Below are 27,106 nucleotides of genomic sequence, written 5' to 3'. Positions count from 1 at the left end.
CCTGGCAGAGCCATGGTCAGTGAAAGGGGATATCAAAGTGTCACTGAAAAGTGTGGCCTGGCATCTGCTAATGTGTCCTCTGTGTTCAAACTTATATATATATATTTGAGATGGAGTCTCGCTCTGTCGCCCAGGCTGGAGTGCAGCGGTGCGATCTCGGCTCACTGCAAGCTCCGCCTCCCGGGTTCACGCCATTCTCCTGCCTCAGCCTCCCGAGTAGCTGGGACTACAGGCGCCTGCCACCACGCCCGGCTAATTTTTTTGTATTTTTAGTGGAGACGGGGTTTCATGGTGTTAGCCAGGACGGTCTCGATCTCCTGACCTTGTGATCCGCCCGCCTTGGCCTCCGAAAGTGCTGGGATTATAGGCATGAGCCACCGCGCCTGGCCCAAGCTTATATATATATATATATATATATTTTTTTTTTACCATAATTCTTACTTTAAGTTGTGCAAAAATAAATAAATAAAATTTAAAAGAGCCTTAGAGAATCAAGAATTTTTTTAGCCTCCATTCTTAAATTCGTTCCCTAATGGACTTGATTAAAGCCACACATCGAGGCTGTGGCGGAACCCAGACCATTGTCCAAATCTCCTTATCGTTGTTGTTGTTATTGACATCATTATCACTAGTTAGTATTTACAGACTGAGTATTTTCTTTGCAGTATGCTAAGTACATTACACACATGAAAACATTTGAGTTGACTTGAGTAGACATTTCTCCCAGAGGGTGTATAAATGGTCAACAAGCGCATAAAAAAAAGGTTGACGTCATCAGGTGTTAGAAAAATGCAAATGAAAACCAAAAGGAGAATCACCTTATACTCAGTGGGATGGTTGGAATATTAGAAATGGGGAAAAAGTGTTGGTGTGGACGTAGAGAAATTGGAACCCTTGTGCATTGCTGGTGGGAACGTAAAACTAGTTGCTGTGAAAAATCGTTCAGCTGTTCATCAAAAAGTTAAACGTAGAGTTACTATATGACCCAGCAATTAGACTCCTAGGTGTATATCCCCGAAACAGAAAACAGGTACTCAGGCATATACTTGCACACCAGTGTTTGCAGCTGCACTGTTAACAACAGCCAAAAGCATATTGCTGGGATCACAGTCCTAGCTAGCAGCGCTGAAGCCCACCTTCCTTATGAGGGAATTCGCTGGTGAGAAAAATGGTTTGGTAACAAGATTCAGACAAAAAGGCTAAGATGTGTCCCGCTTGGTCCTCCTGTCAGCCACAGAATCTTGTTGTCAGTATTTCGTTTCAGAGGAACATGGATGTGTGTGATGAAGGGAGAAACCCATGGAAGGAAACTGGAGGGAAGTTCCCGTTTATAACTGATGTGCTTTCTATGTGTGTCTCTGCCCAAATCTCAGGTCGAATTGTAATCCTTAATGTTAGAGGAGGGGCCGGGTGGGAGGTGATTGGATTACGGGGGCGGATTTCCCCCTTGCTGTTCTCGCGATAATGAGTGAGTTCTCACAAGATCTGGCTGTTTAAAAGTGTGTAGCACCTCCTCCCTTATCTTTGCTCTCTTCCTCCTGCTCCAGCCACGTGACGCGCGTGCTCCCCCTTGGCCTTCTGCCGTGACTGTGAGTTTCCCCAGGCCTCCCCAGCCATGCTTCCTGCACAACACGTGCAACGGTGATCCAATTAAACCTCTTTTCTTTATAAATTATCCGGTTTTGCCGGGCTTGGTGGCTCACGCCTGTAATCCCAGCACTGTGGGTGGCCGAGGTGGGCAGATCACTTGAGGTCAGGAGTTTGAGACCAGCCTGGCCAACATGGTGAAAGCCCATCTCTGCAAAAAATACAACAATTAGATAGGCATGGTGCCACATGCCTATAGTCCCAGCTTCTCAGGAGGCTGAGGCAGGAGAATCGCTTGAACTCTGGAGGTGGTGGTTGAGGTGAGCTGAGATTGCACCACTGCACTCCAGCCTGGGCAACAGAGCAAGACTTGGTCTCGAAAAAAAAAAAAAAAAGAAAGAAATTATTCTATTTCAGGTATTTCTTTATAGCAATGTGAGAATGACTAATACAATCATTTGCAACCAGGTGTCATCCAAAAGAGCACCATCAAAGTTCTGTTTTTGTTTTTCTGCAGTGACTGTTACACAAATAATATGTAGAGACAGCCTTGTGTGGGTGGAAGGAATTTTGTAGGGAGTTAGCTACAATCAAATGAACAAAGCACTATTTTCTTTCCCGAACACTCCTGTTGTGTCCTCGTTTCTATGCCCATGTCAGACCCTCTTCACTTCGTGTCTGCTCAGCCGCAGTGGCTTCCTTTTCCCAGTCTCTCCCCGGGGCAAGCAACTGCACCCTGCACACTCACTAGGTTTTCTAAGCCCTGCTTTCATGACATCTCTTCTTGATTTAACCATTTTGAATGGGTCCCCATTGGTTACTCAATGAAGTCAAATTTCTTTTTTTTTTTGAGACAAAGTCTCGCTCTGTTGCCCAGGCTGGAGCAGTGGTGCGATCTCGGCTCACTGCAAGCTCCGCCTCCCGGGTTCACGCCATTCTCCTGCCTCAGCCTCCCGAGTAGAGTAGCTGGGACTACAGGCGCCCGCCACCACGCCCGGCTAATTTTTTGTATTTTTAGTAGAGACGGGGTTTCACCATGTTAGCCAGGATGATCTGGATCTCCTGACCTCGTGATCCGCCCTTCTCAGCCTCCCAAAGTGCTGGGATTACAGGCGTGAGCCACCGCGCCCAGCCCAAATTTCTTAGTTTAGCTTTCAGGGGTCATCCACAACTTTTTAGATTCATTTTCCATGACTTCTCTATGTGAAGTCAAATTGGATCCTTCTTTTACCTTTTTTTTTTTTTAATCGGTAATACAAATTACTTTCCATGCATTATCTCATTTAAATTTTACAATGCCCAACAAGAAAGGTATTACACGGTTGAGGAGACTGAGGCTAGAGAAGGCAAATAAAACATATAACTGGCAAACGGCAGGGGAAGGATTTGAACCCAGGTCTGTTTGGTCTTCAAGCCCGTGCTTTTAGGTATTGGTCTGGATTTTGCCTTTACTTTCCTGTCTCCATATCATCTGTTCCTGCATTCTATCCCAAATGCCAACTCCATGAATGCCTTCCTTCACTTTCTTCTCCTGCTTTTCTGTGACTAATATTCCTAATACTCTGGCCTGGAAGAGTCTTCATTTGAATTCACATAGGAGAGCACATGTTTTCTGTCTGTGGCTGGCATTTTTCTTTTTATAGTTCTAATCCTCACACTACTAATTCAGTGATAGCACCAAGGAGGGCAGAAACCATGTCTAACGCTTCTTGTATCTCTGACCCTGTCTAGCACAATATCTTGCTCACAATAGTTGTTCAATAATTATTTGTTCTATAATTCTTATAGATTACCTGCCAGGGGAAAAAATTTGTTATATAGATTTGTTTGTTAAGGTTATTTATAAGATTGGATTTTATGTCCAAGGTCTTTTTCTAAATGTAATACTTCGATGTTTTGGGAGCACTTGAATAAACAGGTTGAACATTAGGACAATATTCCTAATTTTGACATGCGACTAAAGTGCTTAAAGTACTAAGTGCTAAAACTTACTTTTATCCAAGTGCTTACGTGAACCAACATTGAGACTAAAGGGAAAAGAAATTACTGTATGCAAATCTGTTACTTTTAAGCCTCTTATTCTCCTGAGTTTCATGATAGGTCCATATAGACAAATTAATTTACAGAAGTAGTCAGCATAACTGCTAAAAATGCAAGCATAAACTACTATGCACTTTTTCCTTTGTGGGACTTCTGCATATTTCAATATTCAGTTCATCACCTTTAAGGTTTCAAATTCACCAGCTGTAGGAACACCTATCAGATTACAGTGCAGCACTAAAAATAAACTGATGTTATTGAAAATGAATGAATCAGCACATTCTTAGCTGAGTTGTTTTCTCATGTGACTCATACTACTTAACTAACTTTTTCTTTGTGATTGTTCATTTATCATATCAAAAGTTTCTTTGGATATCTGCTTCTTTAAGTACAAAAGCACAGTCTTGTTGAAACATTCTGTGGAAAACAACATAACTCTCTGCTCTGGAGTTGTAAAAGTAAGACATTAATGGGACCAGTTACTATAGATTTAGCTAAAAACCTTTCTTCATTTTTTAAAGACAAGGAGAGCCATATCGATATAGTCTGTTTAACAATCAAATTTCCTTTCACAGAGTTCATACTAAACTTCTCAAAACCCTCTGCTTAGTTTAGGCCAGAGGATATTCTTGATGGAGCTCATCTCAAAACCACTTGGAGTCCAAAGTGTCTATGCAAAACCGTTAATCTGAGAATGTGTCTAAACACCAACCTTGAGACAGGCTGCAATTTACTGTTCTCTATGACAGACAAATAGTTAGGAAAGCTCTGTCATTTAACCCCATTGCTTTCTTTGGTAGTCATGGAAAGGTTTTGTTTCATACTGCCTTGTCATATAAAAGACTACAAAATCTGTCAACACGGTATAACTTTACATATAAAAGTAATACCATGCATAGATATTTCAGTCATCATGTGAAAAATAAACAAGATAATCTTTAAACCAATGTCATTAGCAAAGAATCAATGTGGAGACGCATTGATGGATTTTATCGCTGAAATTGAGAAGATATGGACATTTCACTATTTTATTTTGACACGGATGCTACTGGCCAAATCTTCAACCTGTATACACAAATACACAATTGTAAAGGTGTCTTGTTTACAAAGGTAGGGCTTGTCCTCTTTGCATAGTTGGAGCTTTTCACTTTGTTGACAATTTCTAAAAACTAAACATATTCTTGGGTACACATTTCAGGGGTTACCTGTTTAATCTGCTTCACCAGTACTACCAGCGTGTGTTTGATTGCATCTCTTAATCTATGCTAGACTCTCAGGCTAACTTGCATTTTGTGAAATACATATAATATAACCAGACACTTAAGCTCAATCTAACATAAGGACATCCTCCTTATGTTAGAAATTGTCAAAAAAGTAAAAAGCTCCAACAATGCAAATATTTAATTTTTAATTTTCTAATTTTTTAATTTGTTTGAGACAGGGTCCAGCTCTGTCACCCAGGCTGGAGTGCAGGGGTGCAATGATGGCTCACTGCAGTCTCCCAGGCTCAGGTGGTCCTCCTGCTTCATCTTCCCAACTATCTGGAACTACAAAGCGCACGACACCAACACTGGCAAATTTTTAATTTTTTTTTTGTAGAGATGGTGTCTCCCTGTGATGCCCAGGCTGGCCTCCAACTCCTTGGCCCAAGGGATCCTCCCATCTCGGTCTCCCAAAGTGCTGGGATTACGGGCGTGAGCAGCCACGCCCAGCACTTTAATTTTAATTTTTTACTTTGTGTGACGCTTAATTGTAAGTAAGGCAGTTCCCACTGATTTTGCATAACCCCATGCCAATTACCACGTAAATATATATGAGGGTATGTTGGGGAGCATTTTATAAAGTTTCGGAGGAGGGGATAATATTAAGACCCTCATCATGGATTACAATAGAACCTCTTGTTCAGCACTGAGGGTAATCAAAACTGATGTATGAAATTCACACACGGTCTAAAGTGACAGGCCAGAAAAAAAAGTAACTTAGATGCCTTTTCAGTAACTTTGCAGTTTTTATTTTTAAGTGACTGACAGCAGAAGTGCAACAAGATAGAAAAGCAAGCAGCTAGATGGAGTGAGTGCCATCTGACCCAAAGTCATGCGAACTCTGCTGAAATGACTACCTTATGTAGGTCATTGTTTTTCACTGGGAGCCCACTTCCTCGCCAGTTGCAATTTGAAATCTGTGCAAAGCGCTAGAAGAGGCTGAGATAAGTGAAAGGACAAAATTCAACAGCAACACCATCTCAAACGGGCCCCCTGCTCTCCTTGAAAGAGTTCCCACCAGCAACTCAGAACAACCCCAGTAAAGGCATGTCATAGAAATGACAACTGAATCACGTATGTGCAACCTCATCTGGTGAATTTCACCTGACAGACACCATCTGAACCACATCCTGAACTTTCTGAGACAGGTGACATATTGAGATATTTGGCCCCCAAATAGAGAGCTAACAAGTAAGTTTCAATATCATATATTACGAGTGCCACATAGCTGGGGAATGCATATACCTGCCTAGAGAACATATGCTTCCTAGTTTTTATAATATTTCAAATCATTGTTTGCAGACTTTAATCCTATAACAAGTGGCCATCAGAAACATTCATTTTGGTTTATACCCGCAATTATGTAATTAGCATTCTTAGTTTTAAGGTATTTCAAAATTCATCCTCAGTTTATGTTTCTGTATGTGTGTGTGTGTATTACAAGTTGAACTTTTAAATTGGTATTTGCTATAGAAAATCTGTTTAGGTGATGGTTCTAGGTAACCCATAGACCGGGGGTCTTCAATGTCTGGGCTGTGAACTTGTATGGGCCCGTGACTTGTTAGCAACTGGGCCACACAGCAGGAGGTGAGTGTTGGGCCAGTGAGTATTACTGCCTGAGCTCTGCCTCCTGTCGGATCAGCGGCACATTAGGTTTTCACAGAAGCGTGAATCCTATTGTGAACTGTGCATGGAAGGGATCTCGGTTGCATGCTCCTTATGAGAATCTAATGCCTGATGATCTGAGATAGAACAGTTTCAACCTGAAACCATACCCCATCCACCAGCGTCTGCCATCCATGGAGAAATGGTCTTCCATGAAATTGGTCCCTGGTGCCAAAAAGGTTGGGGACTGCTGCCATAGACTACTTTTATTTATTTATTTACTTTTAGATACAGAGTCTCACTCTGTTACCCAGGCTGGAGGGCAGTGGTGCAGTCATGGCTCACTGTAACCTCAAACTCCTGGACTTAAGCGATCCTTCCACCTCAGCTTCCTGAGTAGCCGGGACTACAGATGTGTACCACCACCCTGCTGATTTTTGTACTTTCGATAGAGATGGGGTCTACCTGTGTTGCTCAGGTCTCAAACTCCTGGGCTTAAACAATCCTCCCACCTTGACCTCCCAAAGTGCTGGGATTACAGGTCTCAGCCTAATAAGGCCAATTCTATAGACTAGGATTTTTTTTTCTTTTGAGACAGGACCTTACTCTGTCACCCAGACTGGAGTGCAGTGGCACAATCATGGCTAACCCCATCCTCCACCTCCTGGGCTCAATTGATCCTCCTGCCTCAGCCTCCAGAGTAGCTGGGACTACAGGTGTGCACTACCATGTCCAGTGAATTTTTCTTTTTTTTTTTTTTCTTTTTTTTTTTTTTTTTGTAGAGACAGAGTCTCACTATGTTGCCTAGGCTGGTCTTGAACTCCTGAGCTCAAGCAATCCTCCCGCCTTGGCCTCCCAAAGTGTTGGGATTACAGGCATGAGCCACTGCACAGGGTTCCACAGACTATTCTTAAGGAAATACCACAGTACTTGTATTGGGAATATTGTCTTCAAGATGGATGGGTGCATTTGTATGCAGTATCTATATTTTCAGTGGAACTTCCCTTCCAGTAGAGCACCAAAACATTTGTTCCTTTTTTTATGTAAAATTACCTAAATATTTGTTTTAGAAATGTTATTGAAATCTAAAAGAAACAATCACAAAAAGAATTTGTGATGCACTTTGAAAGTGCATTTTGGTAAACTGATTAAAAATTTTGACACTGATTTCCTTTAGGTGATGATGTGCTTCTTAAAACTATAATAGTTTCAATATTCTTTTTAATAAAGGTGAGACAAAGCTTAAGGAAACCAGCATAGTAGTAGCATACTCATGTATCTTGTTCTTGAAAATCAAGGAGATCATAAACTGAAGGTTAAAGTTGTATCTGTAGCAAGAAGGTTGCAGGTATTTGCTTCTAAAACCAGCTGTGTTCTCAGTTTTCGTCCTTTGCCACTGTAGCAGATGCCACCTGCATATCCCAGCATGACCTGCTGCTGTCTTCACATCCGCCTCTCCTTAATTCTGCCCCAACACTGGGCATCTGATCCTGGATACAATTTCTGATCTCTTTCTGCTTAGTCAACTCTAGCTTGCCACAAACACACACACACACACACACACACACACACACACACGAGCTATGACTTATTCCTCAAAACTTTGTTTTAGCTCCTTCAAAAACAGTAAAAGCTGATTTCAAATTTCTATCATCTGCTTTTATTATACTCCAGAGCACCTTAACTAATATTTTATGTCTTCAGAGATTAAAATGTTGCCCTTCAGAAAGGGAAAGGAACATTTTAATAATTACAGATTAAGAACCTTAAATAATTTCTTAGGGAATGAAACACTAAAAATAAATTCGATAAAAATATCAGCTTTTTTCCTAGAGATTTATTAATTTCTTTATTCAATTGAAGAGTTGGATCACAGATATATAAAGGTGTTAGAAGTAGGATCTGCTTATTATTTTTACTATAGTTCTCTCTTCTTTAAAGAAAAAAGTTGCAAAAGCACATTTGCTAGTGAACTTTATGTTCTAGATAAAGGAGCTTTCTTCTATCTCTGGGGCGAGTTTTACTGTAACACTGTCAAGAATCTAAACACCAAACCTAAATTTTATGAAATATATGTAATAAGTTGCTAAACTGGGCAAAATGGAGTCAACATATCACCTAAAAACTTAGTGTCTTCTTAACGCTTTTGTAAATTTTACATTTCAAAAAATGTACTCTTTATGCCACCAGAGACATAGCTAGGATGGAAGCAAATGGTATCTCTTGATTCTCCTATGCAATTAATTGGTAGCCATACGACTGTCTACAGCCCCAGAACTCACCCTATGTGGAGATAAAATCAAATGTATTCCAGTGGAATTGTGTTCTTGCCTAAAAAAATAAAAAATTGCCCCCCCCCACCCCAAATATCCTGCCTATTTTATGGCTAAAAAGATATGGGAATTATTTTGAAAGATGCTACTTTCTTATTTAATTAAGAATTAGCAAAACCTGAAGCCTCATAGCATGTTCCGTGACTTTACTATATATGCCATCCAATTCTTTGCTTTAGATAAGATGGCTCTTTTAGATATTTAACATGGTCAATGACATATATATTTTTAAAAACTGATTTTTAAAAATGCTATTGATTTGCTCTATCCCTCAACACTTGAGGCCTTTATTTGGTTTACAAAGATGCTCAGTTTTCTGGCAGAAATCCTCCATGGGGATTTCCAGTTTGTCTTGGACTCCTTTGAGGTGAAGGACGCTTCTCATTACGTTGAAGTTTATGCCAAACTGTGCGATTACCTCACGAGGTCAGTCGGCATGTAGGTAGGAAGAGAACCACATGACCAGCCAGAGGTGAAATGAACGATTTGGGGCCCAGTGCTATAGCTCACACCTGTAATTCCAGCATCTTGGGAGGCGAAGGCAGGGGGATCACTTGAGGCCAGGAGTTGGAGACCAGCCTGGGCAACATAGTGAGAACCCGCCTCTACAAAAATTAGCTGGGCATGGTGGTGTGCCTGTAGTCCCAGCTACTTTGGGAGGCTCAGGCAGGAGGATCGCTTGAGCCCAAGAATTCAAGGCTGCAGTGAGCCACGATCATGCCACTGCACTACTGCCTGGGCCATGGAGCAAGAGACTTTGTCTCTTAAAAAAAAAAAAAAAAGAAAAGAAAAGAAAAAAAAGATAAAAGATAAAGAAAGATTTGGGTCTAAGTGGATATAACTTCTTTATTTTCTTTCTTTCTGCAGCAGTTTATAATTTCTCTCTCTCTCTCTCTCTCTTTGAGAAATTTCTCTGACTTTAAAATGTCTGATTCCTCCGGTGTTCAATCCCAGTCTCTGAGGTCCATGCTTTATTCTCCTCCAGGATCCAGTCCCCCTCTAAATACTTATCATCCAATGCATTGTATAAAGAGAATTCCCAGCAGTAGATTTTGAAATGAAAGATGAAGTGTTGAGCATCTGAGCGTTTTCAGGTGCTGGTGTCAGTGCCTGCAATGCCTCCTGTTGACAACGATGGCTATCACTGGGGCATTCGAGATCTCTCTATTCTGAACAGTCTTCAGAAATCAGCCGTATCTGATTGTTCTTTCAGATCAAACGAAGCAGGAAGACAAAGTAAGCTGAACATATTCTTTCACTCTGCACTTTGTTGTTAAAAGGGGGAGGAATCCCACTAGGACCCCTAACTCCAAACTTTTGTAAGAATTCCTATTCTTCCTCCCCAGCTCCTGTTATCCCCCACCCACCTCCCTCCATTCTCTGTTCACTGATTGCATTGAATAAATGTTTCTTTGCTCCTCTAAGGATTGTTCTGTACTACTAAGAATTAACAGTGGATAACACCAAGGCAGACCACAGATAAACTAAACTAAAGGACATTTGCTGTTTTCAGAGAACATGGCATGCAGCTGCCGGCATTTAGCTTCAGCCAAGATAATTTCCTTTCTTCAAAAGAATAGTGGCAAACTTTGCAATATCATTCTTGGAGCTAATGTTGCTGCAGTCTTTTTAAAGGTGGTTTATCCTGTGTAAAATGCAAAACACTTCAGTTTGCTCTCAGAGGTGGGTAGATGAGAAGGACACCAGTCTAAGTTAGACTCTTTTACCAGGAGCTAACTCTGTTGTTGATAAATGATCTTTTGAAGAGAGAAGATGTGGCAAAGTGCCTGCCATCGAAAACAGCAAGGAAAATAACAGTGTAGTTGGTCTGCTTCTTAAAACGTATTTCTTACTGGACACGGGAAGACATTTTCATCAAATTGGAACGTGACATAATGTATAACATGTCAAAGACATTGTTAAAAACAAACAAATTGGAATTGAGCTGCATACAGTTAGTCTTAGATCTCTCAGTCGGTTTTACACATTAAGACGGTTGAGCATGCAGAGCTTATAAATTCTCCTGTTGGAGGGGTTTTTGGAGAATTTCACGTAACTCAGTGGGATCTTGGTGGGGACACTGACATTTACCACTGAGTTCTTTAATGACAGCTAAACAGGAGAACACCACTCCTAATTTACTCAAGTACAATTCAATATCACAAGGCAATTGCAGAACACTGTTCTTTTATAAAACCAATTTTTGTGCTACGATTTTTAACTCTTTTATTTACAAGTGACTTCAGTTTGCTTCTCCAACCCTGTATTATCCTGCACATGAGTTTTTGTATATAATTATTGTTTCCCTTCCTCTAACACTTTCTGCTATCATTAATCATATTTATATGATATACGCACTTATCTTTAATTTTAAGTGTAACACAGGTTCCAAGTCAGCATTCCAGCTTAAGTCATATGGATTTATAGCTCCTGTCCATCCACCCCTAGAACTACTTGTCTTTGTGTTCACAGAGTGGCAAATGGTTGATCACTTTTTAATCCTACAAGATGGCCCAGTGTCCTGCCATTTCTCTAGCTGGCAAGAGGTCTGAATAAGAGAGCAGGAAATTAGCGCTACAGCAAGTGAGAGCGGTGGATTAGGGACACATGAACCTCCTAGCCCCAGGAAGGTAGCTGCCTGCCTCTGCCGGGTGTCCAGAGCAGAAGGAGGCAAGGATCATCAAGGCAGGACCTCAAAAGTGACTTTGACATGCATACTATCCTCAAGGGAAGTGAGATAAATGAGCTTAACCGAGCCAGAGCGTGAGTGAGACATATCACAAGAGGGGAACATGTAGCATCTGTGGGAGGTCTATTTATTTATTTATTTATTTATTTATTGTTTTGAGACATGGTCTTGCTCTGTTGCCCAGGCTGGAGTGCAGTGGCACCATCATGGCTCACAGCCTTGACCTCCTCAGGCTCAAGCAATCCTCCTGCCTTAGCCTCCTGAGTAGCTGGGACTATAGGTGTGCACCACCATGCTGGGCTAATGTTTGTATTTTTTGTAGGGATGGGATCTCACCATCTTGCCCAAACTGGACTCGAACTCCTGGGCTCAAGCGATCTGCCCGCCTTGGCCTCCCAAAGTACTGGGATTAAAGGCATGAGCCACTGTGCCTGGTTGAGCATCCATAGAGACGGAAGGAAGTAAATGTTACTTCCAACTGGGAGCCAGTGTGGGTAGGTTGGTGGTGAGAAGAAACATCAAGGAATAGGCTCGCAGATAAACTTCTCCTACCTCCGAGCTCTGGTTCTGGAATGCTCTTCTTCCAGCTCTCACATGGCATTAGTGCTCAGCCTGAAAGGCATCTTCCCCAAGGAGTCTCCTATGACCTCTCCTTCTAAGTAAAATTCTCCTGTTATTCTTTTTTTTAATTAAAAAATTTTTATTTTTTGTGGGTACATAGTAGGTGTATATATTTATGGGGCACATGAGATGTTTTGATACAGACATATAATGCATAATGATCACATCACATGGAGAATGGGGTACCATCCACTCAAGCACTTATCCTTCATGTTATAACCAATCATGTTATAACCAATCTAATGACAATCTAATATCCTTCATGTTATAACCAATCTAATGACATTCTTTTAGTTATTTTTAAATGTACAATTTGTTATTGACTATAGTCATCATGTTATGTTGCCAAATAGTAGGTCTTATTCATTCTTTCTATTTGTTTTTGTCCCAATCTCCTGTTATTCTCTATCAAAAGATCCTATTAATTTCTCCCCTAACAGTACGTCACACTTGGTAACTATGTAATCAAGTTATTTGTTTCACGTAAGCTGTTGCTAAAGAAATTAATCTCTACAGGTGACCATGAGTCTCTTTCACCTCTTTATTCCAAGCACTGAGCACACCGTCTAACACTTACAGACATACAATAAATATTTGTTGAACAAGACAGTGAATCAATCAGATGGACTGGGTTATACGGAGATGGGCAGTGGGCAGGAGGAGAGAAGGGAGAGGCCATCTTGGCAGAGGAAATGTGTGCATCTTCTGTATGGTGTCACCAAGACGGTTCAGGCTGGCTGGAGCACATGGAAGATGTAAATGAGTGATAAGAGATAAGTTTGAAAAGGTAAATGAGGGCAGGAATGCTGGGCTATTGATTTTATGCTTGATTCTTTAGGTAAGGGAGAGTTTTTGAGCAGGCGATCGACATCATTCCCTTTGATCATCTTATGTCTTCAACCTACAGACTCGGGAGGAAGAGCATGTCTTTGCTTTAACTGCATCAAGTGTCAAAGCTACGATCTTTTGACCAGACCCATGGACCCCAGAGAGAGTTGGTTGAGCTGTCAGGGGCCTGGGATTTAAACGGAAATGAGTTCCTATGACCTGCTGAGTCCTACAGTGTGAAGGTTCATATCAGGCCAAGCCCAGCATCTGAGATCAATTCAAGTGAACAGATTAAATGCCTCTAGGATGTGTTCAGCCCTGTGGTGAAATACAAAATAAATCAAAAGCAGGGTTCCCCTGCCTTAAAGAGCAGGAGAGAGCTGTCTCAGATGAAATTGCTGTAGCAACCTCCCCACTTGAGGGGCTGCAAAGGACTCAGGCAAAGCTCAGGTGCACAGTACCTCTCCTCCTACAGAGCTGCCACCCTGGGGCCCAGGACATCGATTAGTGCCACTGTGGACCCCTGTGGTCATGGGTCTATCCTGGACCAGACACAGCCCAAGAGGCAGTATGAGAATGCCCTAGATGGGCAATTAGCTGGCCAGGGCACTCGAGCTGTCCCTAAGCATCCATGTTTCACTGGGCAAGCCATTTTAATAATCAGAATGTGTTTATCATTTCAAAATATTGGGCATTTGTTAATTTATCAACTACTCATTGTGTATCCACTAAACGCTAAGCACTGTGCTGAAGGAGCCCCAACTTTTCTGGGCTCGTGTTAGAAACAAATGAGATAATGAATGGGAAATATGCCCTCCAACTGCAAATTCCTATACAGTGTGAACCATTTTTGGTTTGTAGAGGAGCCTACACAGCTGCCTGAGATAGCCTGGGAGTATTGCATCTCATCTGGTCATAGAAAATACTGCTAAAAAGCCAGGAGAGGTGGCACTCACTTGTAGTCCCAGCTAGTCAGGAGGCTGAAGTGGGAGAACAATTTGAAACCAGAAGTTTCGGTCCAGCCTGGGGAACATAGTGAGATCCCATTAGATCCCATTTGTATTATATATAATGTATATGTATATATACTGCTAAAATGCTATATTTGAATCAGGACTTTAAGGCCTAAAACGCAATGAAATATACAAACACAAAAGTTCATCAGATTTTTAGGACACCTTTTAAAGCTGGAACCTCAGAGTTTGATTCCCACGTATAAAAATATTTATGTGGAGAAATGAGTTTATATTCTCATCCTTGACTTACAGAAACACTTTACTCCCAATGCACTCCTGGCAATAAGAGCAGGTCCATTGGCCCCCATTTCCCATCTGCTGTGATCCTGTGATGACTGACTCGCCCAGAGTAGAGAACTCAGTTGTGGGGAAGTCTGAACAGGGTGGGGAGGAATGTTAGGTGAATGTTAGGCAAATGCAGAGCTCCGAGGTGAAGAGCTGAGTGAAAGCACTGAAGGGTGAAGAAGTGAGGTTTGTGGCTATGAAAACGAGGGAAAAGGTACAACCTTGCTGCCATTAAGCAGGCAGCTATTGGTGGCGAGGCTTCAACAGCCCAGCTGGCCCTTGAGAAACAATGCCTCTGAATTTAGCTTCACTGCTGGCCTCTGTGGTCCCGAAGCCCATTTCCCACCTGTTGGTGGGAACGTCAGCTTGCACACTTCTGTAGCCTGAGTTCCATGTTTACCGTTTCCTTCTCTCCCCCATCTCATTGACACTATGCTCTTGCTTCTGATGACATGACCCAAATCTAGCTGGGCTCTTTGATTGTGTAACTCAGGTGCCTGTTCCTTCATAAGAGGTCTATGGATAAAAGGCCTCTCTATGCAGGATCTTCATGATTTCTGGGGCTTGTAAGAGGCGACTTAAGTAGAAATATTAATATAACCTAGACCAGCATTTTTCAGCTTTGGCACCACTGACATTTGGGGTTAGATAATCCTTTGCTGTGGGGACTTCTCTATGCACTGTAGGATGTTTAATAGCATCCCCTACCTGCTGGAGGCCAGTAATACCCCCTCCCCAGGCGGTGACAAGGGAAAATGGCTCTTGATATTGCCAAATGACCCCTGAGAGGCAAACCTGTCCTCATTTGAAAACACCGAGCTATACAGATAAACTAGAACAACATTTTAGGGTAATCTTTAGTGCTTTGTCTCCAACATGACTTTCTGAGAAGGTAATTCAATTATTGCAATGATCTTAAGTACTCAAAGTATTAAAACTTCTGAAATCTTCAACTATCTAATTGTGTTATACAGGGCAACCTTGCTATAACTATAAATTATATGCCCAGACAATACCACATTTGTTCCTCCAAAGTAGGCAACTAGAAAATATTTGTTAAGTGAATAAATTATGCTCTTTAAGAAAGGAAAAATAGCATGCCTGTAATCCCAGCACTTTGCCCGAGGCGGGCAGATCACCAGGTCAGGAGATCGAGACCATCTTGACCAACATGGTGAAACCCCATCTCTACTAAAAATACAAAAAATTAGCCGAGCGCGGTGGCAGGCGCCTGTAGTCCCAGCTACTTGGGAGGCTGAGGCAGGAGAATGGCGTGAACCCAGGAGGCGGAGGTTGCAGTGAGGCGAGATAGCGCCACTGCAGTCTGGCCTGGGCGAAAGAGCAAGACTCCATCTCCAAAAAAAAAAAAAAAAGAGAGGAAAAATAACTTCATTTGCTTTTTTTTTTTGAGAAGTAGTTTTGCTCTTGTCGCCCAGGCTGGAGTGCAATGGTGCAATCTCAGCTCACTGCAACCTCCACCTCCCAGTTTCAAGCGATTCTCCTGCCTTAGCCTCCCGAGTAGCTGGGATTACAGGCGCTTGCCATCACACCTGGCTACTTTTGTATTTTTAGTAGAGATGGGTTTTCACCGTGTTGGTCAGGCTGGTGTTGAACTCCTGACCTCAGGTGATCCACCTGCCTCGGCCTCCCAAAATGGTGGGATTACAGGCATGAGCCACCATGCCCAGACTTCATTTGCTTTTATCTCTGGCCCAAGGAGTCTTGAAACATATTTTTCTGCCACATTAATCAGCACACCAAGAGCAGATGTGAACTGAGGACTCAACAGAATGTGGGCGCTTTGCATTCCTATGCCAGCCACTGTAATCGCCAGTGGCTGAAGATGATCTCTGGAGGCCATTTGAATATTCCTGTGCCATCTAGTTTAAACAATATAATGTTTTTAAAAATTAAAGTTGCATTCTTTTTTGTTTTGTTTTGTTTTTTTCAGGTGGAGTCTTGCTCTGTCACCCAGGCTAGAGTGCTGTGGTGCAGTCTTGGCTTACTGCAACCTTTGTCTCTGGGGCTCAAGAGATTCTCCCACCTCAGCCTCCTGAGTAGTTGGGATTACAGGTGTGCACCGCCATGCCTGGCTAGTGTTTGTATTTTTAGTAGAGATGGAGTTTTGCCACGTTGTCCAGGCTGGTCTTGAACTACTGACCTCAAGCAATCCGTCTGCCTTGGCCTCCCAAAGTGCTGGGATTACAGGTGTGAGCCACCGCAGTCAGCCACAATAGAATTTTCTTTCAGAAATTCTGCACTAGTCTCTTTCCTCCTCTTAATTTTCACAGCATGTCACTGGGCCTTTGCTGTATCATGAATCACTGTATTTGATGTGTTTTGTTTATGACTTATTTCCCTTAACAATCTGAGAACTGTTTGTAGGTCAGATAAATGTTTGATTCATCTTTTGTATTCCAACAAGGGATACACACAAATTAAAGAAATACATATTTTTAGGCCAGGTGTGGTGGCTCACGCCTGTAATCCCAATACTTTGGGAGGCCGAGGTGGGTGGATCACCCGAGGTCAGGAGTTTGAGACCAGCCTGGCCAACACGGCAAAACCCCATCTTTACTAAAAATACAAAAATTAGCCAGGCGTGGTGGCAGGTGTCTGTAATCCCAGCTACTCAGCAGGCTGAGGCAGGAGAATTGCTTGAACCTGGGAGGCGAAGGTTGCAGGGAGCCGAGATTGTACCACTGCACTCCAACCTGGGAGACAGAGTGAGACTCCGCCTCAAAAAAAAATTTTTTTTTAATTAAAAAAAATACATATTTTTTAAACGTGCCCTTGCCTTTAAGGACTCAATTTCTCTTCTAAGTCAATTTTCTCAACTACAGGCCAATGCCTGGGTTTTAATGTTTTCAGTCTGAAAGGATCAGCACCAAGTTCTTAATTGTTCCCTGATTTATACGTGATACTCCCCAAGAGATATTTGTGTATAGCCACAGATCTCACCCATGGTAAAGATAAATAAACGCCATTTAAGCTGTCGCCGATGCCGAGATCTGTGACTGGCACTCAAATCCTTCTTAGACTTTTCCTTTTCCTCTTAAACGGTAATCAGATCTCTCCTTGAGTGCCACTTTCCCTTGATTTTGAAATTTGGCATTTAATGTAATTGTGATTTTAAAAATCCATCAAGAGCAGGGATACGGCTCATGTCAGTGAGAGACGTTATGCGTCAGTGCTTTGCACGCTGAACTTCCCCGCTGAAGCTAATGGGTGACGTTTGAATGGGGGTAGAGGACCCAGGAGGCAATTCCAGGTGACACTAGGTTGCTGACCACTCTGAAGAGCAGAATAGCTGAAGTGCTTTCTCCGCCCACCTCTCACTGTCCCTTTCCAGGGTAGAGGAAAGCAAGTCTTCTAACTGGCTACAAGCTACACTAAGGTAGGTCTTAAGGTCAAAATCTGATACAGAAGAGGGAGTACTGATTCAGGGTTTTCTTTGCACACCTCATTCTTTGGATAAAGGCCTATTGCACTTTATATAAATCTACCCTAAGATCATGCTTGAACCAAAGAACTTTTGTTCACGAAGTGTGTCAATGGTAAGTAATTGAACAGAGAAAAAGGGTGATAGGTAGATCTATAGCTGGACATAGAAAGAGACACACACAGAAGCCAGCACACAAATTGCCAGTTTCTCCTTGAGTGACTCTGAGAAGTACCAGCTGCTGCCTGACTCCCCCATGCTATGTGGGTCAGAAGGATATGAGGACCCAACTATTAAAAACATCACAACAAAATGTACCCTTAGTTGGTCCTAAGGAGTTATAGAAAGCTCCTCTAATTGGCCACATCAGAGCAGATTTTGAACTTCTTGCATGAAAACAACTTACCATTCCTGGTGATAACACCATTTACAATGAGGTTTTACTCTTAAGTGTTCAGGAATAATAGACACAGTATTTTTAAATAAGTGTGTTGCAACAGGCAGGCAGTGTTTTCAAAAGCATCATCTGCTCTCCTTTTAGAAAGGTAGGTTGCTGCTCTGCTGGAAAAGTGAGATTGGCTCTCATGAAATTTCTTTCAATAAACAGTGTCTGAGAGGGATTTTTCTTTTTTGGCACTTGAATGGTACATATGTAAAAAGAAAAAAGTTTCCTTTATAGAGGTACAAAAACATATCCTTTACCCTGAACATGCTATTCGATTGAAGTCACCTTTGTGAATTCAACTGAGTTTTGTTGTGTTTACAAATTGAATATTTTTTTACATCTGACTCTTCTAAAAATTTGCTGTAGTTGAACAATTTATCACTATTAGTCTTGTTCAGATGTTATAAATCAACAAAGAGCATGATTATCTGGTAATATCTATGTGTTTGGATTAAGTAAACATAAAATCGGTGAACTAAGGAGGTGTTATTCTTAGGAAAACGAGAAAAGAAAAAAATGGAAGTAGATAGTAATCTATGAAATCCATATTTTACTTTGATACACACCTATACTTGTAATGCTTACTAAATAAAATATACTCTTGTTAGTAGATAACAATTATTTTCTGGCTAATCATATTTTATCATAGTTTAGTATCCATCATCATGTGAACTCTGGAATATCTAAATTTGTACAATAAGGAACTTTGCTAAAATTGTGGGGGGAACTGATGAAAATTTACTTTTAGCTTATTTCACATTGATTAAATGAGTTCTTATATGAGAATTATTATAAAAGGTTATTGGTGAATTATCAGGGCACATTAAAGAGGTTTATTTAGGTAATATCTGCATGGCAACCACAAACTCCTGTAGAATATTCCTCGGGGCCACTGCGGGGAATCGACTGGGCTGCATGGATCACTGAGCTCATTTGGTATGACATTTCTTATATAGTCAGGTTCACAAAGCAAGAGATAAATCAGCTGTGGAAAACTGTATCTCATAAATAACGTCATAATTGGAAAGGATTTCAATCAAAAGATCTGAAAGCACCTATAGTCTGATGAGGCTCAGTTTAGACATATACATAGCAGATGAATGGGGTACGATGCACTTATACGATGCTGAAACCCAAGAGCCAAGGTCAGAGAATTCTGAGTTGCTGCCTCTACACAACGTTAAGAATATCAGTGTTGGTTATTCAAAGCCATCTCTGTGCTCCTAGAATAGATGCTGCCTACTATATTATTTCCCGGGAAAATGGTTCATTTATTCATGCATTTTTTTTTTTTTTTTTTTTTTGAGATGGAGTCTCGTTCTGTCACCAGGCTGGAGCGCAGTGGTGCACTCTCGGCTCACTGCAATCTCCACCTCCCAGGTTCAAGTGATTTCCCTGCCTCAGCCTCCTGAGTAGCTGAGACTACAGGTGTGCACCACCACGCCCCGCTAATTTTTTGTATTTTAGTAGAAACGGGGTTTCACCATGTTGGCCAGGATGGTCTTGACCTCCCGACCTCGTAATCCACCCACCTCGGCCTCCCAAAGTGCTGGGATTACAGGCATGAGCCACTGCGTCCAGCCTATTCATGCATTTAACACATACTTATGGAGATTTTTCTATATACTTGCCATGTTTCCTGCCAGTGTCAGCAAGTGGAATTATGACAGTCCTTTTAGTAGTGGAGTTCTCTGAAACTAGACATGACCATCCCTTCTAACCCTCCTATTTATCAGGCATATTTACCTCTGGTAATCTTTCCTAAAGCAGAACTTTCTAGTCAGAAGCTAACAAGAAAGATGACTTCAACAGAAAACTGGCAATTGGCTACATTTCCTAGAGGTAAAGCTTTCAACATTCATTGCACCTCCCTAAATCTTATTGCAGTGTGATCAGAGAGGTAGGATCTGCTATGCTTGAATTGTGGCTGCTGCATTAAAAAAGAAAAATTCTTGGCATTGCCTATAAGAACATTGACGATATCTGCACGCTACCTAAAAAGTCTTGGGATTGAAAGTTCAAAATAGAAACCTGCTATAGGACATGGTGCTCTTCTGAAATAATTATCTCAAATAATAGTAATAGGCAGAAATTATTGTGTTATATACAAAGGTATCTTCATTTATTTATTTATAGACATGGGGCCTCATTTTATCACCTGGGCTAGAGTACAGTGGCAGGATCATGGCTCACTGCAGCCTTGACCTCCAGGACTCAAGCAATCCTCCTGCCTCAGCCTCTCGAGTATCTAGGTCTATAGCAGCATGCCCCCACACCTGGTTGTTATTATTATTATTATTATTATTATTATTATTTAGTTTTTTGTACAGCTGGGGTCTTGCTATATTGCCCAGGCTGGTCTCAGACTCCTGACCTCAAGTGATCCTCCCACCTCAGCCTCCCAAAGTGCTGGGATTACCATGCTTGGCCTAAAGGTGCTTTTATAGTGCACAATTTGTTGAGCATTAGTTTACAGATACCTTAGTAGATTGATCAAATTTTGTCTTCATAAATCAATAGTAGGGAGGTATATTATTTCTACTGTACAGATTAAGAAACTGAGATATAAAAAGATAATATTTCCAATTTGTAAGAATTAGAAAGTGACAGAATAAGAATCTGAATCTCATTCAGTTAGTTCCAAGGCCCATGCTATCTTCATGATTTAAAATGGCACTTCATGTAGCATTTTATCTATTTATTTTTACTGATTAGAAAACTGAAAGCAAAAAGGTACCACATATTTTAAAAAACTGTATAATACCCTAGGAAATACTTTCTCTGATTCCTGAGTTAATAAACAGAAGCTTTTGTCCCCTTGCCTCTGGTCATCTTGCTTTGCTCCTCTCCTGACTGTTTTCTGTTGATGGTTCACTGTGACCTCGACCTCCTGGGCTCAAGTGATCCTCCCATCCTGGCCTCCCAAGCAGCTGGGACTACAGGCACATGCCAATATATCTGGTTACTTTTAAATTTTTTTGTAGAAATGAGGTTTCACTCTATAACCCGGATGGTCTCAAACTCCTGGGCTCCAGCGATTGTCTCACCTATGCTTCCCAAAGTGCTGGGACCACAGGCATGAGCCACTGTGCCCGGCCTAGGTTTTAAGTCTGTGAGGTTAATGCTTTGTATCTGATCACAGACTAAATTGAAATAATAAACTTCAGAGTAGTGCTTTTTATCATGTTTCAAAGTGACTTTGCCAACAACCTCTCTGCCTTAAATAGTTATTTCTGCCATTTTTTCACTATCCTTGGGACAGCCCCAACAAGTCCATTTTGCTCACTCTATAACCTCCCAATGTAGAGTAAATCGCGATTCAACTTCAATTCACCCTTAAAAAAACGCAATGACCTAACAAAGGAGAATTTTTTCTAAACTTCGGTCTTCTGTTCCTGTTCTTTCGTAGGTTATGTACTTCAGCAAGAAGAAAATCTATTTAGCCTCTTAATCTTTTTTTTTTTTTTTTAATTGAGGCTAGGATACAGACATGGACATCGTACTTAGAAATTCGCTTCTACTAAGTCAGATCCAAACATTCACAATCAAAGCATTCAATCAGCCTGAACGCTTCCTTGGGTACAGACCCTCCTCAGGATTCTCTGAAATCAGACTGAAAACTTCAGAAAGTTACAGTCTGGAGGCATTGAACCACACTCCTCACACCCAGGCTCAGAGATGGCCCTGCTCATTCAGAAGGACAGGACTAAGAAGTAGAGTGAAAAATTATCACCGTGTCCCACAGATTTAAAACTCTAACTTTTCCCTTGCACCAAACGCTGTTTGCAAAACACCGAAACATCCAGATGAAAAGTCAAATCTGCAGTCAGCCATTCTGATTTTTGTTCTACAAGACAACAAACATAGAGATACTTGTAATCATCAGAGAGGCTTATGATGTTTTTTGACATTGTTAATTTATGCTGTTTCTTTCATCTCGTCCACTTCTTTGCTTATGCGCTAGATAGTGATATATCAGCTTCCAATCCCTGTTGAGGCAGGGAGGGACTATCCGTCTTGAGTATCATGTGGGCCCTCTGATTTCCCTTTCCCCTTCCCTTTTGGTCAATACGGCAGGAAAAAGAAAGAAGAATTTTTATTCAAGCCAAAGGCTTTGCAATCTTGAGTTCCATTCTATAAAGGCCCGGGAAAGGGTGGAGCTTACTGACAAAAAAATGATAGCCTTGGCTAATCTGGGGATTTCAATTATTTATGATATTCCTTTTCTCCATTTTGAAAACAGACCACATAACATTTTACATGTTTTCTATCCTCTTCACCACCTCTCGTAAACGAGCAGGATTCTGTGCCATGGAAATTGTGTGATCTTTTCTTCTCAGTGCCCTTTTTGGAAAACATTATTTTGTCATATTTTAATTTAAGACATGTTTCTGAGTATTTGTTAGGCTTAGTTAAAATATCTGCGTGACCTTAGGACATATAAAGTGTATTCATAATCACACTGGAAAGCATTAGTTAAAACGTATGCAGTAAGAGCATACCCACTAGATCTGCTGTAAATCAGGACAGGCACACTCAAGACATCTTCCTAAATCATATAGTTTGAAGAAACTCTTTTGAAGTTCTTTCCTTTCTTTTTGTTGGTGTGTGTTTTTTTCTTTTCTTTTTTTGTGCTTTTCCAAGGTTAGAAAGCATGTCGTTCTTCTCCTTGCTTTTGGAAGAGCTTGGTGGTATGTGGATGGTAACTTTTGTTTCCTCATCAAGATATATCCTTATATGTGTATTTTAAAGGTAGTAGCCTACCTCCATAGCTGCAACCATCACATAGGAAAATTTATCCTTCAATATGTATCTCAGAGGAACACTATAACATTCAAGTTTCTATATTAGCTATTAAAGACGAACTGCTTGTCCTAGAGAAGCTTCCAGTGTGGGAAGAGTGGAATTCACGAACTGGCAAGAGAAGGATTTGAAGAGAGAGAACTTACAAGACAAGGGGAGGATGGCGTGTTTTTATTATAGTGGCTTTCGTAGGGAGCGCTTTTTCTAAGGCGAAATGCCTAAGACCTGAAGGAATCTCATCGCCAATGGGCTTCGGAGAGCCAAGGATTGCTTTTGCACTGAATATTGAGTTATATTTTTATAGCAGAAAACACACAGTTGATTACATTTCAGCTCAGAGTGCCTGAAATTAGGTGCGTGGCTCCCATTAGTAATAAGAACTGTGCACCCAATTCCCCGGATACTTCAATAATAATTTATCCTAAAAATTTAATTTATTTGAAGTCTATTATAAAACTAGACAGAGAGATAGGTTTTTCACAGTGTATGCTTGTGTAATGATTCACATTTGAATGAAAAGAGAAGTCAGGAGGAGGATTTGAGGAAAATATCAGCAGAGCAACTTAGACAAATCATCACTTATCTAGGTTACATGTATATTGCATGCACATTTCTAGGGTCTTGGTTTCTACAGGCAGTTGTACAAAATATAGTGCAAAAATTCTTACAGAGGATCTTAAAAGAACAATAACTGAAGAAATACACAATGGTAAATTATTAAAATCTGCTTTGCATTAACTGTTTTAGCTTAACGTGAAAGTCTCACCTTTACCTAAATTGAGATCAACGGAAGACAGATACCCTGTATACCGAAGATGGCACGTAACATAGCTAGCTATTCATTCCAGAGTTTTATTTTCATTTTGATTAATTACTCACTGGGCATGTAAGAATGTGTATGTGTGCACGCAGGAATGCTTATTAAAGTTCTCTCTTATCCCCTTTCTCTGAGATGCCCTTAGGGGAAATGTAAAAACGCAGAGCTTGAGATGGATATTAAAATAAAACAATAGTAGTTGCTGCTATTTTACGCAAAATTACACCACAATTTTATTCTTAAAAAAAAAAAGACGACCTTCTATCTTATCTTCTCTCTTCTTAAATGGAATAGCAAAAAACTCTTTTTGCAATACTGAATTAGTGTCAGCTTCATACACACACACACACACACACACACACACGCACACACGATAACTTGTTTTGGATCGAAAATTAATTCAGATACAGTAACCTGAACACAAAATAGTACCAGTGACAAAACCACAGTTGTTGTCATAGACTGTTAAGATGTATGCATGCCCTCTAAACTTCTGACATCATTTTAAAAACTTAATATATTGTCTTTGAATGAATAGCATCAAAAAGAAATATGCTCGTATAACTCAATTTCTCTGATGTAAAAATGTCGACATTCCTACATATTCGTATTTTATAATTATTTTGTAATTTATTTAGAAAGTCCTTTACTTCATGAAAACTTTTTGCTAAATTTTGTATTAAAATAAGAAACACAGCATCGACTAGGAGAAAGCAAAGAAATTCAGAGTTCAACCCATTAAGCCCAAAGAGTCAGGACCTTTGTGAATGACTTCCTCTAGGACACTGGATCTTCTGGACATGTTACTGTACACTCATCCTGAGGGGGACACTTAGCAGATTTTCTCTTGTAAATTCTTTTGTAGCTTCCTGGTAGAAGACACTTTCCATTTTATGGAAAGCCCTCAGAATATGGTTTTAAATGAATCTGTTCACAAGGTTCAAAGGCTTTAAATTGCTAGACCATGGTTACCATTTGAGAAAACGCATTGAGCTATATCAAGGAGAGAGAAAAAAGTAACCAGGTACAAGTTTAATTCTCTAAGGTTGACATGTAAGTGCTGATCAGAAAGGATTAAGACTTCCTGAGAACAAGAGAACTCCCCAACAAATCACTTCCAAACTGGGGAAAGCACGTGTGTGTGCACTCACACACACATACCACACCACACCATACACACTCTATAATCCATTGTGATCATTCTATCCCATCCTGGTAGAAAATTCTCTCTAGTCAAAATGCAGAGATTCTTTACTTTCGAATGTCCTCATTCATCTGATTTTCCAGAAAAAGAAAAGCCTGTAGAAATAGTATGAGAACCAAATTAATTATACTTTTTGGAATCATTTACCTACAGCTAATTCATGAAGGGTAATAGCATAAGTAATGGACTGCAAAGTGAACTGTAGCTTCGTGAAAGTAACTTATTTTGTCAAGACCAACCAGCTGCATATTTGAAGAAGCCTCTAAGACTGGAGACATTTTGGTTCCTGGGACTTACCTTCTCTTCTTTAAAGAAGTCTTTAGTTCTCTTGCTTGAACAGAAATTCTAAATCACTGTGTCTTAGAAGAGCAGGAAATCTAGAATAAAATAAATAAAACACATAAACTGGAAGAAAATTTGATAAGATGGTTTATATGAATAATTTTAGTTCTAATACTTTTTGAAAATTATCAGCTGTATTATAACAAGGGATTAGTATTGATTTATTACAGTTATACAGAAAAGATGATAAATAACCATAGGAACAATGTTTGCAGGCTACCCAAGCAGTGTGTTAAGCTGAGCTTTATTTTATGTGTTCACATAGAGTCTTTGCTTTTTTTCCAGTAGTTTAAAATGAATAAATTTATATGGCTATTTATCATTACAAAAAGTGAAATGTTGAAGAATTTACCTAAGCCCTGACACCTTTCTATCTTGTTTAAAGGCCCTCCCATACCTGTCCCTGTTGCAGATCCCAATGGCATGTTATAGGAATTAGATCAAGGTTATGTTGAAGATCTATAACGTATGTGTAGGGATAGACACACACATACACATACATACACGACACACACACAGCACGAGATAGCCTGGAATAGACTATCTTTATTCTCTTTCTTCTAATTAGATCTTAGGTTACGCTGTGCTCCTGGAGCCCAGGATTAGTTTCACTACAGTGTGAACTTACAAATATTTGCTTCTGGTAATATTGAAGAAAAAAAATACAGGAGTTTCCTATTTTTGCATGTCACTCAGTCATTTTAAACCACAGTCACAGCAAAAGTAAATCAATGCCTTGAGTTTCTCATTTTAGCAATTCAGCCTTTTGGAGTAGTTTCCAGTGTCAAACAGTGAGTCCCATTTTCTCTGTCCCCCTTCTTTCCCTGATCCTCACCTTACATTAAGAAACAAAAAACGAACACAAGAACACACAAACAACAACAACAACAAAAAACCATGGAGGATTTAGGAGAGGCAAAGAGAAGGAGTAAGAAATTACTTTTAGGTTTGAACCTTGTTGACTAAGAGATAATCAATATGATTATCAGAAAAATGGAAACTGGGAGAAAACTAGTTTTTCAGAAAGCTGGGCAGGGTGTGGTGGCATGAACGAAATTGGTGACTTGGGAAATTGAAAACTGTGAACAAGGACCGGAGAGGCTGATTGGGTGTTATAAGTAGGTGAGCACAAAAGATTAAATAGAAATCTAGGGAGATGGAGTAGAATAGGTATGTTCTAGACCTTGTTGGGAGGTTTCCATGATTTTCCCAGGAAACTCTGTGTAAGCCACTAACTGAGAAATAACCCAAGGTGGGAATTTGCTTTGCAAAAAACTGGAAAGTCAGGAAGGCACAGAAGATATGGGAAAGAGTAAAGGAGTAGATGACTTTGGAAACCGGACTGTGTTCAATTGATTGATTAAGCCCTTTCCTGCCTTTGTCCCTTCCTTCTCCCTCTCCTCTCCTCTCCCCTCTCCTCCCCTGCCCTCTTCTCCCCTCCCCTCCCCTGCCCTCTTCTGCCCTCCCCTCCCCTGCCCTCTTCTCCCCTCCCCTCCCCTGCCCTCTTCTCCCCTTCCCTCCCCTGCCCTCTTCTGCCCTCCCCTCCCCTGCCCTCTTCTGCCCTCCCCTCCCCTGCCCTCTTCTGCCCTCCCCTCCCCTGCCCTCTTCTCCCCTCCCCTCCCCTGCCCTCTTCTGCCCTCCCCTCCCCTGCCCTCTTCTGCCCTCCCCTCCCCTGCCCTCTTCTCCCCTCCCCTCCCCTGCCTTCCCCTCCCCTCCTATCGCCTCACCTCAGCCTCCCCTGCCCTCTTCTCCCCTTCCCTCCCCTTCCATCCCCTCCTGTCCCCTCC

General features: G+C 41.0%; 1 protein-coding gene across 7 annotated transcripts in view; it reads right to left on the bottom strand.

Moving 5' to 3' along the window:
- TENM3 (teneurin transmembrane protein 3) overlaps window positions 1–27,106 on the bottom strand; it is a 1,355,412-nt gene that overhangs the window by 736,007 nt on the left and 592,299 nt on the right. For all 7 annotated transcript variants that reach the window (XM_017008385.2, XM_017008389.2, XM_017008390.2 and 4 more), the window contains exon 4: window positions 25,275–25,354. The gene's annotated coding sequence lies outside the window, so the exon portion shown is untranslated. The remainder of the gene's footprint in view (window positions 1–25,274; window positions 25,355–27,106) is intronic.

The sequence above is a fragment of the Homo sapiens genome, chromosome 4 (genome assembly GCF_000001405.40).
Source record: "Homo sapiens chromosome 4, GRCh38.p14 Primary Assembly".
Classification (NCBI taxonomy): Eukaryota; Metazoa; Chordata; class Mammalia; order Primates; family Hominidae; genus Homo; species Homo sapiens.
This window is presented reverse-complemented; position numbering and strand designations above follow the sequence as displayed.